The 15313-nt window shown below is 54.8% G+C and overlaps 3 protein-coding genes across 14 annotated transcripts in view, besides 11 other annotated features; 2 read left to right on the top strand and 1 right to left on the bottom strand.

Annotated features, from left to right (window-relative positions):
• Window positions 493-1015: an enhancer, noted in NCBI's record as "NANOG-H3K27ac-H3K4me1 hESC enhancer chr19:12792869-12793391 (GRCh37/hg19 assembly coordinates)". NCBI's record gives its function as "activates a minimal SCP1, AML or CMV promoter by ChIP-STARR-seq in primed H9 embryonic stem cells {active_cell/tissue: H9 hESC(primed)}" and the evidence as "EXISTENCE:reporter gene assay evidence [ECO:0000049][PMID:30033119]".
• Window positions 493-1959: a biological region, named in NCBI's record as "CRISPRi-FlowFISH-validated WDR83OS regulatory elements". NCBI's record gives its function as "regulatory_interactions: WDR83OS".
• Window positions 899-1433: a transcriptional cis regulatory region, noted in NCBI's record as "promoter|chr19:12792451-12792985 region (GRCh37/hg19 assembly coordinates) targeted for CRISPR interference". NCBI's record gives its function as "positively regulates WDR83OS gene expression in K562 cells {active_cell/tissue: K562}" and the evidence as "EXISTENCE:mutant phenotype evidence [ECO:0000015][PMID:31784727]".
• Window positions 1016-1539: an enhancer, noted in NCBI's record as "NANOG-H3K27ac-H3K4me1 hESC enhancer chr19:12792345-12792868 (GRCh37/hg19 assembly coordinates)". NCBI's record gives its function as "activates a minimal SCP1, AML or CMV promoter by ChIP-STARR-seq in naive H9 embryonic stem cells {active_cell/tissue: H9 hESC(naive)}" and the evidence as "EXISTENCE:reporter gene assay evidence [ECO:0000049][PMID:30033119]".
• Window positions 1081-1375: an enhancer, noted in NCBI's record as "tiled region #9902; HepG2 Activating DNase matched - State 1:Tss, and K562 Activating non-DNase unmatched - State 1:Tss". NCBI's record gives its function as "activates a minimal TATA promoter and a strong SV40 promoter by Sharpr-MPRA in HepG2 and K562 cells {active_cell/tissue: HepG2 | K562}" and the evidence as "EXISTENCE:reporter gene assay evidence [ECO:0000049][PMID:27701403]".
• DHPS (deoxyhypusine synthase) lies at window positions 1190-10600 on the top strand. 10 transcript variants are annotated; one of them, NR_161468.1, is made up of 11 exons: window positions 1190-1510; window positions 2745-2909; window positions 3148-3269; window positions 3351-3447; window positions 3527-3613; window positions 5674-5779; window positions 5859-5962; window positions 6928-7053; window positions 7137-7252; window positions 9986-10046; window positions 10490-10600. NR_161468.1 is itself a non-coding variant. In NM_001369693.1 (9 exons), exons 4-9 carry the CDS (start codon window positions 3406-3408, stop codon window positions 7230-7232), a joined length of 561 nt encoding a protein of 186 aa, NP_001356622.1. In that variant the 5' UTR covers window positions 1190-1510; window positions 2745-2874; window positions 3148-3269; window positions 3351-3405; the 3' UTR covers window positions 7233-7353. The 10 variants fall into 10 exon arrangements, 6 of the variants coding, with proteins under 6 accessions (NP_001356622.1, NP_001356620.1, NP_001921.1 ...); NR_161469.1 differs by lacking the exons at window positions 9986-10046; window positions 10490-10600 and having other exon boundaries at window positions 5694-5779; window positions 7137-7353; NM_001369693.1 differs by lacking the exons at window positions 9986-10046; window positions 10490-10600 and having other exon boundaries at window positions 2745-2874; window positions 7137-7353.
• Window positions 1459-1959: a transcriptional cis regulatory region, noted in NCBI's record as "promoter|chr19:12791925-12792425 region (GRCh37/hg19 assembly coordinates) targeted for CRISPR interference". NCBI's record gives its function as "positively regulates WDR83OS gene expression in K562 cells {active_cell/tissue: K562}" and the evidence as "EXISTENCE:mutant phenotype evidence [ECO:0000015][PMID:31784727]".
• Window positions 6614-6663: an enhancer, noted in NCBI's record as "active region_14071". NCBI's record gives its function as "activates an Ori minimal core promoter by ATAC-STARR-seq in GM12878 lymphoblastoid cells {active_cell/tissue: GM12878}" and the evidence as "EXISTENCE:reporter gene assay evidence [ECO:0000049][PMID:35858748]".
• WDR83 (WD repeat domain 83) overlaps window positions 7238-15313 on the bottom strand; it is a 9026-nt gene continuing 950 nt past the window's right edge. Inside the window, exons 2-11 of one of the 3 annotated variants that reach the window (NR_029375.2) lie at window positions 14443-14562; window positions 13177-13315; window positions 12990-13093; window positions 12785-12890; window positions 12459-12507; window positions 12249-12375; window positions 10156-10223; window positions 9954-10062; window positions 9754-9868; window positions 7238-7547 (exon numbers count right to left, since the gene is read on the bottom strand). Coding sequence is in view for 2 of the 3 variants with exons in the window: in NM_001099737.3 (NP_001093207.1) it covers window positions 7398-7547; window positions 9754-9868; window positions 9954-10062; window positions 10156-10223; window positions 12249-12375; window positions 12459-12507; window positions 12785-12890; window positions 12973-13093; window positions 13177-13279 (948 nt within the window). In the remaining variant the exon portion in view is untranslated. Of the gene's footprint in view, window positions 7548-9753; window positions 9869-9953; window positions 10063-10155; window positions 10224-12248; window positions 12376-12458; window positions 12508-12784; window positions 12891-12972; window positions 13094-13176; window positions 13318-14442; window positions 14563-15313 lie in introns of those variants that run through there. The other 2 variants (NM_001099737.3, NM_032332.4) reach the window with 2 other exon arrangements.
• Window positions 10579-11159: a transcriptional cis regulatory region, noted in NCBI's record as "genic|chr19:12782725-12783305 region (GRCh37/hg19 assembly coordinates) targeted for CRISPR interference". NCBI's record gives its function as "positively regulates DHPS gene expression in K562 cells {active_cell/tissue: K562}" and the evidence as "EXISTENCE:mutant phenotype evidence [ECO:0000015][PMID:31784727]".
• Window positions 12034-12707: an enhancer, noted in NCBI's record as "H3K27ac-H3K4me1 hESC enhancer chr19:12781177-12781850 (GRCh37/hg19 assembly coordinates)". NCBI's record gives its function as "activates a minimal SCP1, AML or CMV promoter by ChIP-STARR-seq in naive and primed H9 embryonic stem cells {active_cell/tissue: H9 hESC(naive and primed)}" and the evidence as "EXISTENCE:reporter gene assay evidence [ECO:0000049][PMID:30033119]".
• Window positions 12867-12956: an enhancer, noted in NCBI's record as "active region_14070". NCBI's record gives its function as "activates an Ori minimal core promoter by ATAC-STARR-seq in GM12878 lymphoblastoid cells {active_cell/tissue: GM12878}" and the evidence as "EXISTENCE:reporter gene assay evidence [ECO:0000049][PMID:35858748]".
• Window positions 13097-13186: an enhancer, noted in NCBI's record as "active region_14069". NCBI's record gives its function as "activates an Ori minimal core promoter by ATAC-STARR-seq in GM12878 lymphoblastoid cells {active_cell/tissue: GM12878}" and the evidence as "EXISTENCE:reporter gene assay evidence [ECO:0000049][PMID:35858748]".
• Window positions 13655-14997, top strand: WDR83OS (WD repeat domain 83 opposite strand). Its single transcript, NM_016145.4, has 4 exons — window positions 13655-13716; window positions 13837-13942; window positions 14453-14550; window positions 14645-14997. Exons 1-4 carry the CDS (start codon window positions 13667-13669, stop codon window positions 14709-14711), a joined length of 321 nt encoding a protein of 106 aa, NP_057229.1. The 5' UTR covers window positions 13655-13666; the 3' UTR covers window positions 14712-14997.

The following is a 15313-nucleotide window of genomic DNA, read 5'->3' as shown; positions in this document are numbered from 1 at the left end:
GGGGACAGAACAGAAACGAATGGGCGAGTGCCGGGCCAAGCAGTGGGTCTCCAGCAGGTGGCATTAAAATAGGAATTTTGGCTGGGGACGGTGGCTCACACCTGTAATCTCAGCACTTTGGAAAGCCCAGGCGGGCGGTCACCTGAGGGCAGAACCAGCCTCGCCAACATGGTGAAATGCCATCTCTACTAAAAATAAAAAATTAGCCAGGCCTGGTGGTGGGTGTCTGTAATCCCAGCAACTCGGGAGGCTGAGGCAGGAGAATCGCTTGAACCAGGGGGGCAGAGGTTGCAATGAGTCAAGATTGCACCACCGCACTCCAGCCTGCGTAACAAGAGCGTGTAACTCTTGTCTCAAAAATAAATTAAATAAATAAATAATAAAAATAAAAAAGAATCTTCATTCATGGGAAGTCGAGAACACATGAAAACAAGTAAAGGCCGAAGCGCAGTGGCTCACGCCTGTAATCCCAGCACTTTGGGAGGCTGAGGCGGGCGGATAACCTGAGGTCGGAAGTTCGAGACCAGCCTGACCAACAGGGAGAAACCCCGCCTCTACTAAAAATACAAAATTAGCCGGGCATGGCGGTGCATGCCAGTAGTCCCAGCTACTCGGGAGGCTGAGGCAGGAGAATCGCTTGAACCCGGAATGTGGAGGTTGTGGTGAGCTGAGATCGGGCAATTGCACTCCAGCCTGGGCAACAAGAGCGAAACCCTGTATCAAAAAAAAAAAAAAGAAAAAAAAAGGAAGAAAAGGCCTAAAGGCGCCGGGCGCGGTGGGTCACGCCTGTAATCCCAGCACTTTGGGAGGCCGAGGCGGGCGAATCACGAGGTCAGGAGATCGAGACCAGGTGAAACCCCGTCTCTACTAAAAATACAAAAAAATTAGCCGGGCGTGGTGGTGGGCGCCTGTAGTCCCAGCTACTCGGGAGGCTGAGGCAGGAGAACAGCGTGAACCCGGAAAGCGGAGCTGGCAGTGAGCTGAGATCGCGCCACTGCACTCCAGCCTGGGTGACAGAGCGAGACTCCGTCTCAAAAAAAAAAAAAAAAAAAAAAAGAAAGAAAGGGCCTAAAGGCTCCTCGCGGCTTCCGTATTACGGAACACACGCACAAAAATGGCGGCGACCTGGTTTACAGGGGCTAAAAATGGTCACGTGATAAACCAACTTCCGGTCTTTCGCCCAAAGCACGTTCCCTACTTCCTGTGCTCTTGCGGAGACGCGCGCGTCGGGGTTTAACGCGTTTCTGGGCCGCCGTAAGCCCGGCCTAGGGGCAGCTTTGACTCGAGAGCCGGCTATAGGCGCATGGAAGGTTCCCTGGAACGGGAGGCGCCAGCGGGGGCGCTGGCCGCCGTGCTAAAGCACAGCTCGACGTTGCCGCCCGAAAGCACCCAGGTCCGGGGCTACGACTTCAACCGCGGTGTGAATTACCGCGCACTGCTGGAGGCCTTCGGCACCACCGGCTTCCAAGCAACCAACTTCGGGCGCGCTGTACAGCAAGTCAATGCCATGGTGAGGACCGGGCGGAATTTCTAGGGACGCGGAGGGGCGTGGCTTGTAGAACCAACGCGGTACTAGACGGGGGCAGCGTTTCCAGTGGAGGGGATATGTCTTTTATTTGAGTTGCCCAATAGTTGGAGGAAGGCGGGACCTATTCTGGGCGGGAGTTTCTGTCCTGGGAAGGGGATTTTGCACTCTGGTAGTTACATGCTGGTACGGTAACCTGAGGAGGCGAGGACTGATTCTTGGTGTGGGGGCGGGTTCTAGGTACATTTAAAGCTTTCTGGAATGGGCGGAGCCTGGGGCAAGACAAATTAAGGGAGGATATGGGAGGAGGAGCCTAAGTCTGGGCGGTTCTTGAATTTAGATTTGCTTTTCCCAGCGGGGAAGGGACCGGATCTGAAAGGAGATGCTCTCTGATTCCTAAAAGGGTGGGGGCTGGCTGGGCGCGGTGGCGCATGCCTATAATCCCAGCATTTTGGGAAGCCGAGGCGGGTGGATCAAGAGAAGAGGAGTTCGAGACAAGCCTGGCCAACATGGTGAAACCCTGTCTCTACTAAAATGCAAAAAATTAGCCGGGCATGGTGTTGCGCGCCTGTAGTCCCAGCTACTCGGGAGGCTGAGGCAGGAGAATCGCTTGAACCCGCGAGGTGGAGGTTGCAGTGAGCTGAGATTGCGCCACTGCACTCCAGCCTGGTGACAGAGCGATACTCTGTCTCAAAAAAAAAAAAAAAAAAAGGCCGGGCACGGTGGCTCATGCCTGTAATCTCAGCATTTTGGGAGGCCGAGGCGGGCGGATCACCTGAGGTCGGGAGTTCGAGACCAGCCTGACCAACATGGAGAAACCCCGTCTCTACTAAAATGCAAAAAATTAGCCGGGCATGGTGGTGCGCGCCTGTAGTCCCAGCTACTCGGGAGGCTGAGGCAGGAGAATCGCTTGAACCCGGGAGGTGGAGCTTGCAGTGAGCCGAGATCGCGCCATTGCACTCTAGCCTGGGTAACAAGAGTGAAACTCCGTCCAAAAAAAAAAAAAAAAGGGTGGGGGCAAATCCTGAACGTGTGTCTTGAGATCTGGTCTGGGAAGGGGCAGAGTTTACACAGGAGATGTTCCTTGGTCCCCTGTAGAACTGGTCCTGTATCCCTGAATGTGCAGGGCCTGGGGTGAAATCTGTTTCTGGAGCCCACCTGGAGTCCTGAGTCTGGGATTTAAGGCCAGTGCTTAACTTGACTTGGCCCTTACTCACAGATCGAGAAGAAGCTGGAACCACTGTCACAGGATGAAGACCAGCACGCGGACCTGACCCAGAGCCGCCGCCCACTTACCAGCTGCACCATTTTCCTGGGATATACATCCAACCTCATCAGTTCAGGCATCCGTGAGACCATTCGCTACCTTGTGCAGCACAACATGGTGGGGACCTGGTGAGGCCGTGGCCTTGGCCTCTGGGTCAATGGGCAATGCAGTTATTGATCGTTTAAGTGAGATGGGCAGATAGGGGTCTGTTATAAGCAGAGGAATAGAATCAAGTTTTGTTTTGTAGCAGAGCTCCCTCATAAGAGTCACTGGACAAGGATGAGGTTAGAAGTTCTGCCCAGAATGAGGGCAGGGGCTTCCTTCTTGGGCCAAATTCACTGCCTTGTGGCTGCAGGTGGACGTATTGGTGACCACAGCTGGCGGCGTGGAGGAAGACCTCATCAAGTGCCTGGCGCCCACATACTTGGGCGAGTTTAGCCTCAGGGGGAAGGAGCTCCGGGAGAACGGGATCAATAGGTGAGAACCCTGAGTGGTGTTGGGCAGGGGAGCTGGACCAAGGGTCCTGGGGCCTGATGCCTACATGCCTCCTGTTCTCAGGATCGGAAACCTGCTGGTGCCCAATGAGAATTACTGCAAGTTTGAGGACTGGCTGATGCCCATTCTGGACCAGATGGTGATGGAGCAGAACACAGAGGTGGGGCTGGGGCAACCTGGAGGGGCCAGTTCAGTGGGAGTCAGGGGAGGCATGGCCTGAAGGTCACATCCTCTCCTAGGGTGTAAAGTGGACGCCTTCTAAGATGATCGCCCGGCTGGGCAAGGAGATCAACAACCCAGAGTCCGTGTATTACTGGGCCCAGAAGGTGAGGACCTAAGCGGGAGCAAAGTAGCCAGACTTTGGCATGTGTTAACTTATTTCATCTTTCCAGCCTCCTGGGGATTCAGTACTGTTATTCTCAGCATCCTCACTCTTAGATGAGGAGACTCAAACACAGATAGGCGTGGTAATTTTTTTTTTTTTTGAGACAGGATCTTGCTCTGTCACCTAGGCTGGAGTGCAGTGGTGTGATCACAGCTCATTGCAGCCTCAACCTCCTGGGGCCAAGCAGTCCTCCCACCTCAGCCTCTCGAGTAGCTGGGACCACAGGCACATGCCATCATGCCCAGCTAATTTTAAAAATTTTTTGTAGAGATGGGGGTCTCCCTGTGTTTCCCAGGCTGGTCTTGAACTCCTGGCGTCAGGCAGTCCTCCCACCTTGGCCTCCCAAAGTGCTGGGATTACAGGCGTGAGCCACTGTGCCCAGCCAGGCTAGGTAATTTTGTCTGAAGTCACACAGATAACTAGTGGGGCCTCAGCATCCTTATGCTCCTCCCAGACTATCTCTGGAACAGTAGAGGCAACACTTAGCAACTCTCCTGGGGCCTGGCTCAGGGTCCCACACTCCCAGATGCTATAAAATAAGAGCTACCCACTCCCTTTAATTAGAGAATCAGAACCTGAAAAAAAAAAAAAAAAAGCTACATAGTCTTTTTTTTTTTTTTTTTTTTTTTGAGACAGAGTCTTGCTCTGTCGCCCAGGCTGGAGTGTAATGGTGTGATTTCAGCTCACTGCACCCTCCACCTCCCAGGTTCAAGTGATTCTCCCGCCTCACCCTCCTGAGTAGCTGGGACTATAGGCACCCACCATCATGCCCGGCCAATTTTTGTATTTTTCTACAGATGGGGTTTCACCATGTTGGCCAGGCTGGTCTTGAACTCCTGACCTCAAGTGATCCACCCGCCTTGGCCTCCCAAAGTGCTGGGATTACAGGGGTGAGCCACCACACCCAGCCTACTTACTCTTTCTTTTTTACGAGACAGGGTCTCATTCTGTTTCCCAGGCTGGAGTGCAATGGCACAATAATGGCTCACTGCTGTCTTGAGCTTCTGGGCTCAGTCGATTCTCCTGCCTCAGCCTGCTGAGTAGCTGGGACTACAGGTGCGTGCCACCATGCCTGGCTAATTGTTTTTGTAGAGATGGGAACTCACCATGTTGCACAAGCTGGCTCTTTTTTTTTTTTTGAGACGGAGTTTTGCTCTTGTTACCCAGGCCAGAGTCCAATGGCGCAATCTTGGCTCACAGCAACCTCTACCTCCTGGGTTCAAGCAATTCTCCTGCCTCAGCATCAAGTTCCCAAGTAGCTGGGATTATAGGCATGTGCCACCACCCCTGGCTAATTTTGTATTTTTAGTAGAGGCAGGGTTTCTCCATGTTGGTCAGGCTGGTGTCGAGCTCCTGACCTCAGGTGATCCACCCGCCTCGGCCTCCCAAAGTGCTGGGATTACAAGCGTGAGCCACCGCGCCCGGCCACAAGCTGGCTCTTTAAAAAAGAATTAGACGGCCGGGCACGGTGGCTCATGCTTGTAATCCCAGTACTTTGGGGGCTGAGGCGGGTGGATCACCTGAAGTCAGGAGTTCAAGACCAGCCTGGCCAACATGGTGGAACCCTGTCTCTACTAAAAAAACAAAATGCAAAATTAGCTGGGCATAGTGGCATGCGCCTGTAATCCTAGCTACTCGGGAGGCTGAAGCAGGAGAATCACTGGAACCCAGGAGGCAGAGGTTGCAGTGAGCTGAGATAGTGCCATTGCACTCCAGCCTGGGCAACGAGTGAAACTCCGTCTCAGGGAATAAAAAAAAAGAGAGAGAAACAGCTCAGCAAGCTAAGAATAGGCTGGTTCTTTATGTGCCAGGCACTATACTAAGTGTTTTCTGTGGGTTTTCTCATATAGGCCTCATCTGTGAGAGGTGTTTCTGTTATGCTTATAATTGAGGAAACAGTCCTAGAGAAATTAGGCACCCCATCCACAGTCAGATAGTCATATAGCCAGCATGGAGACGAGGCTCTGAGCTCCAGCCACTGTCCTGTCATGTTCTCTGCAGAACCACATCCCTGTGTTTAGTCCCGCACTTACAGACGGCTCGCTGGGCGACATGATCTTCTTCCATTCCTACAAGAACCCGGGCCTGGTCCTGGACATCGTTGAGGGTGAGGCGCTAGGGCCACAGAGGAGAGGGGAAGGAGGGCTGGCTGAGTCCAAGGCCTGACTTCGGCGCTCTTCCCCCAGACCTGAGGCTCATCAACACACAGGCCATCTTTGCCAAGTGCACTGGGATGATCATTCTGGGCGGGGGCGTGGTCAAGCACCACATTGCCAATGCCAACCTCATGGTGAGTGGGGGTGGCGCTTCGGCCCACTCTGCAGACATGCTGTGTGGTGGGCCTATGCCATGTGCTGGGTAGACAGCATGAACTAGACAGGCCAGGATCCCTGCTCCCCGGGACTGATGTTCTAGTAGGGGAGATAGCAAACAAGTGACATCCACGTCAGGGGGCAGTCATTGCTACGGGGAATACTAAATGATGGCATGAGAAGAGAAAGGGGTGCTGTCCAACAAGAGGTTTTGGAAGGAGGCTTCTGGAAGTGTGAGCTGGGAGCAGGGGTTTGGGGAGGCATCTCCCAGGAGCTATGTGGTTGTCTCCCGTGCCAGGAGTTTGTGCTGCTGTACTAGCATTGAGCTTCTGGATTGCAAAGTTCCCAGGAGAGGGAACAGCCATTGCAAAGGCTCTGGGGCGCCTGAAGTAATCCAGGAACAGCTGGGTACCTGGTGAGGGGAAGGTGGAGTGGTGAGGGCCAGGAGGTGATGCAGGGAGGTGCCACAGGGAGCCTGCTGGGCCCTGTGGGCTGAGGCGGGGCTTTGGCTTTTGCACTGAGAGAAGTGGGAGAGGACTTGACTCGGGTTCCCATGCTCCCCCTGGTGGCCATGTGGTGAACAGATGGTGGCAGGTGAGTGAGAACTCCAGTCCAGGACAGTGGTGACCATGCAGGGATCAGGAGGCAGGCGGTGGTTGGATTTGGAGGGCTTCTGAAGATAGAGTTGCTGGCAGCTCCTGCCTTGCAGATGGGGCAGGGTTGTTGACACCTGGCTGTTGGGTCTGGGGAAACACAGCCATCGTTGCCCAGCAGCTCTAGTGACCCCAGACATTGACATGGGCCCTGTCTGGGAGCGAATGTCTGTGAAGGGCTTCCTTCATCTGGGACACACCTCTCAGCCTGTTTGGCTACGGTGTCCTCCCTCTGTGTCTGTCTCCTGTGACTGGCTGACTGGGCCCACCGTGCCCCCGCCTCCCCACAGCGGAACGGGGCCGACTACGCTGTTTACATCAACACAGCCCAGGAGTTTGATGGCTCTGACTCAGGTGCCCGACCAGACGAGGCTGTCTCCTGGGGCAAGATCCGGGTGGATGCACAGCCCGTCAAGGTAAGCGCTGGCTGGGTGGGGCATAGGGTCTCTGGGACGATGAGTGTGGGTCCCATGGCTTACCCAGGTTCCCCCCTACCCAGGTCTATGCTGACGCCTCCCTGGTCTTCCCCCTGCTTGTGGCTGAAACCTTTGCCCAGAAGATGGATGCCTTCATGCATGAGAAGAACGAGGACTGAGCGGCTGCGGTCCCAGGAAGGTCTTACCCCCTCTTCTATTTATTAATTTGCAGACCCAGCCCCTCCCCTACTTTTTGGTCAGCTACGTCTCTAGAATAAGATGGTATCTGAAGTCCTTCCATGTCTGTGTCTCGGTCCTTGGTCCTGTTGGTGGGTCCCCTGGCTTCAGCCTGCTCCATCCTCTGCCTCATAGGCCTCCTCTCGCCAGCACTGGACGCTGCCTCCCATGGCGGTCAGCAGGCAGGGCTCTGTTGGGTGGTAGGCCAGCGACTGCACCACACCGGAACCCACAGGCAGGGCCAGAGCCAGCGCACCCTGTGGAGCGAGGGGTAGGGAGTGGTTATCTGTGGCTGGGCTGTACCCTGGTTTCTGAGGTCCCTGGGCACCCCCCATCTCAGTCCTGCCTGAAGCCCTCAGTCACCTCTCCCCGACCTTCAGCCACCTGCCTCTAATTGCCTCCTAGACACTGCAAAATTAATCTACCTCAGACTGAGCCCCTCAGTAGCTCTGTCCTACCAGGTGTTCAGGCCGCAAGTCTTGGGAGCCTCTTATTGATTTTTTATTTTTTAAAATAGCAGAGATGGGGTCTTACCATGTTGCCCAGGCTGGTCTCGAACTCCTGGCCTCAAGTGATCCTCCTGCCTTGGCCTCCCAAAGTGCTAGGACTACAGGTGTGAGCCACCATGCCTGGCTTTGGGAGTCTTTTTCTTTTTCTGTTTTTTTTTGAGATGGAGTCTTGCTCTGTCGCCAGGCTGGAGTGCAGTGGCGCCATCTGGGCTCACTGCAACCTCCGACTCCCTAGTTCAAGCGATTCTCCTGCCTCAGCCTCCCGAGTAGGTGGGATTACAGGCACGCGCTACCATGCCCAGCTAATTTTTGTATTTTTAGTACAGATGGGGTTTCACCATGTTGGCCAGGATGATCTCTATCTCCTGACCTCGTGATCCACCCCCCTCGGCCTCCCAAAGTGCTGGGATTACAGGTGTGAACCACCATGCCTGGCCGGGAGTCTTTTTCTTGTACCACATGTTCCTCTATCAGTTATTCCTCTTGGCTCTGCTTCTAGACCATGTCCAGAGACTGCTGATTTTCTGCCACTACCATGTTTGGAGCATGCCTTGCTCACAGCTTGCCTGTTCCCTGCCACCAGCTGGGCTCCATCCTGTCCATTTGGCAGCCCCAATGATCCCCACTTCCCCTGGTCCCAACACAATGTAAACAGTTCCTCAAGCAAGCCATGCTTCCTCTTTCCACCTTGAAAATGTCCCTTGATGTGCCTGCCCTCCAAGGCAACTTCTGTTCTACTGGGCCCATAAGAAATAGGTGGAACATTCTTGCTACCTTAGTTCCTAAAGCAAGAGCTTGTCCGCCAAGTCTTCAGGGCCCCCCCGGTTCCCTCCATCCTCTTATGGGCCTTAGTTCCCCTGGCCAAGCCCAGCGCTGATGTCTCCTTTGCCGAGATTCCCCCGGCTCTGACCCCACTACACCAGGATGGTCTGTTTCTGGCCTGACTCCCCACCAGGCTGGGACATGTCAAGGACAGGGCTCAGGGCTTGAAACCATGCACAGGGATGCTAAGATGTAGCTCCAGTTTCTTGAATGACTGCAGCCCTATCTCACCCAAGGTTAGACATGGCCGTCGGCTCCCCCTTGCCCAGGGGTCAGTGCCAGTTGCTCGGCCTGGCATCTGCAGCCCAGCCTGACCCCGGATCTTGCCGCACCTGCCGCCACCCTGAAGCCTTTGTTTCCTGACTGATGCATGCGCAGGCTACACCTCTTAACATATGCTGTTCCCTTTGCCTGGAATGCCCTTCCTGCCTCATCTTCTCTCTAGCCCAAGCTGGGCACGGTGTCTCAGGCCTGTAATCCCAGCACTTTGGGAGGCCGAGGCGGGTGAATCACTTGAGGTCAGGAGTTTGAGACCAGCCTGGCCAACATGGTGAAACCCTGTCTCTACTAAAAATACAAAAATTAGCCAGGTATGGTGGTAGGGGCCTGTAATCCCAGCTACTCAGGAGGCTGAGACATGAGAATCACCTGAACCCTGGGGGGAAGAGGTTGCAGTGAGCTGAGATGGCGCCACTGCATTTGCCTGGGCAATAGTCTCAAAAAAAGAAAAAAGGGCCGGGTGTGGTGGCTTACGCCTGTAATCCTAGCACTTGGGAAGGCTGAGGTGGGTGGATCATGAGGTCAGGAGTTTAAGACCAGCCTGACCAACATAGTGAAACCCTGTCTCTACTAAAAATACAAAAATTAGCTGGGTGTGGTGGCACGCACCTATAATCCCAACTACTCAGGAGACTGAGGCAGGAGAATCGCTTGAACTTGGGAGGCGGAGTTTACAGTGAGCCAAGATTGCGCCACTGCACTCTAGCCTGGGCGACAGAGCAAGACTTGTCTCAAAAAAAAAAAAAAAAAAAAAAAAAAGATCCTAGCCTTCAGGCCCTGGAGTGACTGAGGTAAGGACAGGGCTGAGATGGGGCAGGCATCTAGGTATGAAGTAGGGCTGGGGGCACCTCACCTCCACCAGGTCCCAGAAGAACACCTTCCCGTCCTCAGAACAGCTGACCACATGTGTGTCACGCTCGCTCAGGCAGCAGTCCAGCTTGTATTCCTGGTTCTTATGGCCCTTGTACCTAAGGGTGGACAGGATCGGGGGGCTTGGTCCTCTCCAGGGGTGGGAGAGGAGGGAAGGGGATCCCCACGACCACAAGGACTCACTCGCCCAGCAGCTCCCCTGTGTCTTTGTCCAGGAGCCGCAATGTGGAGTCCAGGCTGGACACCAGGGTGCACTGCCCATCCCGGCTGAAGCAGGTGCAGGTGATGGGGCCTTGGGGGAAGGGTGGGTAGGTGAGTGAGGGTGGGGTGCCCCTGGTTGGCCCCCCATCTTCCCTGCCTGTCCCACATCCCCAGCCACACTCACTGCCCACGTAGTCTGAGAAGAGCTGCCCCATCCTTAGGTCATAGCGTCTCACGCGGCCATCCACGGAGCTGCAGGAGAGGGTAGATCCAGCGGGAACCTTGACTACACTCACATGGCTCCAGGCAGCCCTGTGCCTTCCCAGCCCAGTGGGCCTGCTCTTCCAGTGCACAGGAGTGGAATTCTGAAGCTCTGGCCTTGAGACTCAGGCCCAGGGCCAATTACGTCCTACTCCATCATTTCCAAGACCCACACCCCCTTTCCAAGCCCTTGGAGTCCTTCTGATTCCCCCTTTTCTTCCTTTTGTTTGAGACAGAGTTTTGCTCTTGTTGCTCAGGCTGGAGTGCAATGGCATGATCTTGGCTCACCGGAACCTCTGCCTCCCGGGTTCAAGAGATTCTCCTTCCTCAGCCTCCCGAGTAGATGGGAATACAGGCATGCACCACCACGCCCTGCTAATTTTGTATTTTTAGTAGAGACGGGGTTTCTCCATGTTGGTCAGGCTGGTCTCGAACTCCCAACCTCAGGTGATCCGCCCACCTCAGCCTCCCAAAGTGCTGGGATTACAGGTGTGAGCCACCCCACCTGGCCCAATTCCCCCTTTTCCTGCATTCTCCAGCTCCTCCTCCTCAGTACTCAGTCCCACCACTTTCCCCACTACCCAGCACCAGCATCTAGACTGTTCTGGTCTCCCTGCACCCCCCACAGCCACCAGAGGGAGCACTTTTCAAAGTACAGTTGACCCATGAACAACACGGTTTGAACTGAACGCGTCCACTTATATGTGGATTTTCTTCTGCCTCTATCAGCTGTGAGACACCAAGATCAATCCCTCCTCTTCCTCCTCCTCTGCTTTCTCAACACGAAGATCTTTATGACGATCTCTTCACTTCCACTTAATGAATAGAAAATATATTTTTTCCACCAGGCGCGGTGGCTCACGCCTGTGATTCCAGCTCTTTGGGAGGCCAGGGCAGGTGGATCACGAGGTCAAGAGATGGAGACCCTCCTGGCCAACATGGCGAAACCCCGTCTCTACTAAAAATACAAAAATTAGCTGGGCGTGGTGGCACGCGACTGTAGTCCCAGCTACTAGGGAGGCTGAGGCAGGAGAATCGCCTGAACCTAGAAGTTAGAGGTTGCAGTGAGCCGAGATCACGTCACTGCACTCCAGCCTGGCAACAGAGCGAGACTGCGTCTCAAAAAAAACAAAAATTCTTCCTTATGATTATTTTTATGTATTTATTTATTTAATTTATTTACTTATTTTGAGACGGAGTCTTGCTCTATCGCCCAGGAGTGTAGTGGTGCGATGTCGGCTCACAGCAAGCTCTGCCTCCTGGGTTCACTCCATTCTCCTGCCTCAGCCTCCTGAGTAGCTGGGACTACAGGCGCCTGCCACTATGCCCGGCTAATTTTTTGTATTTTTAGTAGAGACGGGGTTTCACCGTGTTAGCCAGAATGATCTCGATCTCCTGACCTCATGATCCGCCTGCCTCTGCCTCCCAAAGTGCTGGGATTACAGGCATGAGCCACAGCGCCCGGCCTATTTTTATTTATTTTTAGAAATCATTTTATCTTTTTTTTTTTGAGATGGAGTCTCACTTTGTCGCCCAGGCTGGAGTGCAGTGGCACAATCTCGGCTCACTGCAACCTCCAACTCCCGGGTTCAGGCGATTCTCCTGCCTCCGCCTCCCGAGTGGCTGGGATTACAGGCTCCCGTCACCACACCTGGCTAATTTTTGCATTTTTAGTAGAGACGGGGTTTCACCATGTTGGCCAGGCTGATCTCAACCTCCTGACCTCAAGTGATCTGCCCACCTTGGCCTCCCAAAGTGCTGGGATTACAGGTGTGAGCCACCGTGCCCGGCCAGATTATTATTATTTTGTAGACAGTCTGTCTTTCACCCAGCATGGAGTGCAATGGTGCCTCGAACTCTTGGACTCAAGTGATCCTTCCACTTCAGCCTCCCAAGTAGCTGGGATTACAGCTGTGTGCCACTGTGCCCAGCTGAGAGTAGGTTTTAATCTGAGCATGGGGGCAGCTATGATTCCCCGTAGCACCTGGGGTGAGACCAGGTCCTGGCTCCACTCACCCTGCCAGGATCTCGTGGTCTGACACCTTCACACTGGACACGCCATCTCTGGCCTCATCCAGCGTCTGCACTGGCTCAGGCCTCCGTGAGCGGCAATCCCAACAGCGGATACTGGAATCAATAGAGCCTGTGAGGCCAGCATGATGGTGAGGTCAGGTTTGGAGGGGGAGGGCAGCACCCTGGGCCCCCGTGCTTAGGCCCCAGACTCACCGGACAGGATAACTGTGGCCTCTTCATTAAACTGCACCGTGTTCACCTTCTGAGAAAGTTATTGCCACTCAGAGGAGGCTGGACTTTGGAGGACTGGGATAAAGGCAGGGTTCCCAGTGTCGGTTAAAGCAAGGGCGAAGGGGAGGTGAAAGGTTTTGGGGGAACAGCAAGGACAGGGGTTGGTGACTGCCTAGCCTGGCATGCGGAGTGGGGGATCGTCATCTGGGGAAGGGATCCTTACGGTGTAATGGGGGTGGCCGTGTCACCACCTATGCGCTAATACGGGTCCCCTCCACTCAAATGAGGGTCTCCAGGCTTTCACTCACCCCTGCGTGGCCCCGGAATTTGCGCACGACCTGCCCTGATGCCACATCCCACAGAACCACCGCCTTGTCCCCGCCGCCGGAGCAGAGACTACTGTTGTCAAAGGAGCTGGAGTAAAGGAGGAGGAGGATCAGCATCGACCTCGGATCCCAGCCTCAGCGCTCCCATCCCAGCCTGGTCCCCGGCTCACCCGGCCGCATCCAGCACCTCGTAGCCGTGGCCGCTGTACGTCCGCAGCAGCGTCCCCCGAAGCGGGTTCCACAGCTTCAGCGTCTTGTCACTGCCGCACGTCAGGCAGTAATTGCCATCCACTGGGGAACACCAGGCGGGGGTTACTGGGCCGTCGATCTCAGGAGGCGGGAGGAGGACCCGGAATGAAGACGAAGGCGCTCACCATTAAATCGTACGGCTCGCACTGCCCCCTGCCCGCAGTCCAGCGTCTTCAACCGTTTCTGCGGCAGCTCTGGAGGCCGCGGCTTTGGCTCAGGGAAAGCCATGCTCCCAGGACTCCTTCCTTGCAGCCTTAAATCGGTCTGTACGGAAAATTCCGCGCCTTAGAAACCCACGCTTGGGTGTAACCTTATTATTGTTCTTCCTGACCTACTTCCTGTTTATCACTTCCGGGTTCATCATTTTGGCATTTCGGTGATCGGGTTGGAACTATTGAAGCCCGCTTTCAGGTTCTTTTCCCCATTTTCCCTTTGAAAGGAAGACTTCTGGCTTCTCCTAAATCTCCGTTCTCTGGGTAAGGGGAGTCCAAGCCTCTGTCATGAGGAACGGAAATGCGAGGGCCTCGGGTGTTACTCTAAAATCCGCCCTCAGCTTGCACGCCGGAAGCTGCGATTCCTGCAGCGGAAGAGGCGTGATCTGGCCTTCGACTCGCTATGTCCACTAACAATATGTCGGACCCACGGAGGCCGAACAAAGTGCTGAGGTGAGGACCCCAGCGTCGTGGGCACGGGTTCGGGTTGTGGGTGTGGATCGGGGCCCTGGGAAGCGCCTGTCTATCCCGGGGGCAGGACCTGAGCGCCCCTGACCCTCGAGCCTGTCGCAGGTACAAGCCCCCGCCGAGCGAATGTAACCCGGCCTTGGACGACCCGACGCCGGACTACATGAACCTGCTGGGCATGATCTTCAGCATGTGCGGCCTCATGCTTAAGGTGGGCGGGGTTGAGCTTCTATGGGTGTAGTTGGACCTGAGAACGAGGCCCGGGGGCGGGTTTGGAATGAAGCGGGGTGTCTTGTCATTGCTGATGGGGCGGGACCTGAGATCGGCCGGGAGTGGGGCTGCGATGACGCTGGGCCGAGAAAGCCCCAGTCTTTGGTGAAGTCAAGGATTCGAGTCAGGTTGGGGATGTGGCAGATTGGTCTGCGAGTGGGGCCAGGCTTTGAAGCAACTTGGAGAGGAGTTGTGGAAAAAGGGCAGGGTCTTAAGCATGTGGGATGTCAGAGTCTCTCTTGGTCCTGAGAGACGCAGGCCAGACAGTAGGACTAGAAACCACGTATCTAGAGTATGCCATGAGCAGGTGGGACTGAGGAATTCCGGGTGGGGCAAGGTCCCAGCTGCATCAGATGGAATCAGTGGGCATGATCTGGTGTCTGGAAAGGTGGCTTCGGGGACTCATTGTTGTGCCTTTCACTAACCTGCCCACCCACTTACCTTTCCCTAGCTGAAGTGGTGTGCTTGGGTCGCTGTCTACTGCTCCTTCATCAGCTTTGCCAACTCTCGGAGCTCGGAGGACACGAAGCAAATGATGAGTAGCTTCATGTGAGACTTGCCCTACAGAACAAGTGACTCTTGAGTAAGGGGTGGGGGGACCCCAGCCTGGCCATCCTAGACTGACACCTCTCTCCTGTCTCAGGCTGTCCATCTCTGCCGTGGTGATGTCCTATCTGCAGAATCCTCAGCCCATGACGCCCCCATGGTGATACCAGCCTAGAAGGGTCACATTTTGGACCCTGTCTATCCACTAGGCCTGGGCTTTGGCTGCTAAACCTGCTGCCTTCAGCTGCCATCCTGGACTTCCCTGAATGAGGCCGTCTCGGTGCCCCCAGCTGGATAGAGGGAACCTGGCCCTTTCCTAGGGAACACCCTAGGCTTACCCCTCCTGCCTCCCTTCCCCTGCCTGCTGCTGGGGGAGATGCTGTCCATGTTTCTAGGGGTATTCATTTGCTTTCTCGTTGAAACCTGTTGTTAATAAAGTTTTTCACTCTGGCTGTCAGCCTCTTCTGTTCAGTGGGGTGTTCCTCCTACCTGGCGGGAAGGGCTCTAGCCCCATAGGCCTGGTGTGGGGCCCCAGTCTGGAGGCTTCTGGCTGTTCATTTGCTTACTTCATAAACCTTGTGTCTTAAGTCAGGTGCTAGGGACAAGACAGTGACTTCTGCCCTCTGGCAACTCACCAGATGGCCCTGCTGACCTAGATAATCTAGGCTTTGGTTTCCTTTTTTTTTTTTCCTTTTTAAGAAAGAAAATGGTCTTGATCTGTCATGCAGGCTGAGTGCAGTGGCACAATCTATGTTCACTGCAGCCT

The sequence above is a fragment of the Homo sapiens genome, chromosome 19 (genome assembly GCF_000001405.40).
Source record: "Homo sapiens chromosome 19, GRCh38.p14 Primary Assembly".
NCBI classification, from domain to species: Eukaryota; Metazoa; Chordata; class Mammalia; order Primates; family Hominidae; genus Homo; species Homo sapiens.
Note: the sequence above shows the minus strand (reverse complement) of the source record. Positions and strands in the feature narration are given on the sequence as shown.

Coding starts and splice junctions, on each gene's coding strand:
- DHPS (NM_001930.4), top strand. CDS start 1,304: ATGGAAGGTTCCCTGGAACGGGAGGCGCCAGCGGGGGCGCTGGCCGCC. Junction 3,270..3,350: donor CGGGAGAACGGGATCAATAG/GTGAGAACCCTG, acceptor TCCTGTTCTCAG/GATCGGAAACCTGCTGGTGC. Junction 7,054..7,136: donor TGGATGCACAGCCCGTCAAG/GTAAGCGCTGGC, acceptor CCCCCTACCCAG/GTCTATGCTGACGCCTCCCT.
- WDR83OS (NM_016145.4), top strand. CDS start 13,667: ATGTCCACTAACAATATGTCGGACCCACGGAGGCCGAACAAAGTGCTG. Junction 13,717..13,836: donor AGGCCGAACAAAGTGCTGAG/GTGAGGACCCCA, acceptor AGCCTGTCGCAG/GTACAAGCCCCCGCCGAGCG. Junction 14,551..14,644: donor CAAATGATGAGTAGCTTCAT/GTGAGACTTGCC, acceptor CTCCTGTCTCAG/GCTGTCCATCTCTGCCGTGG.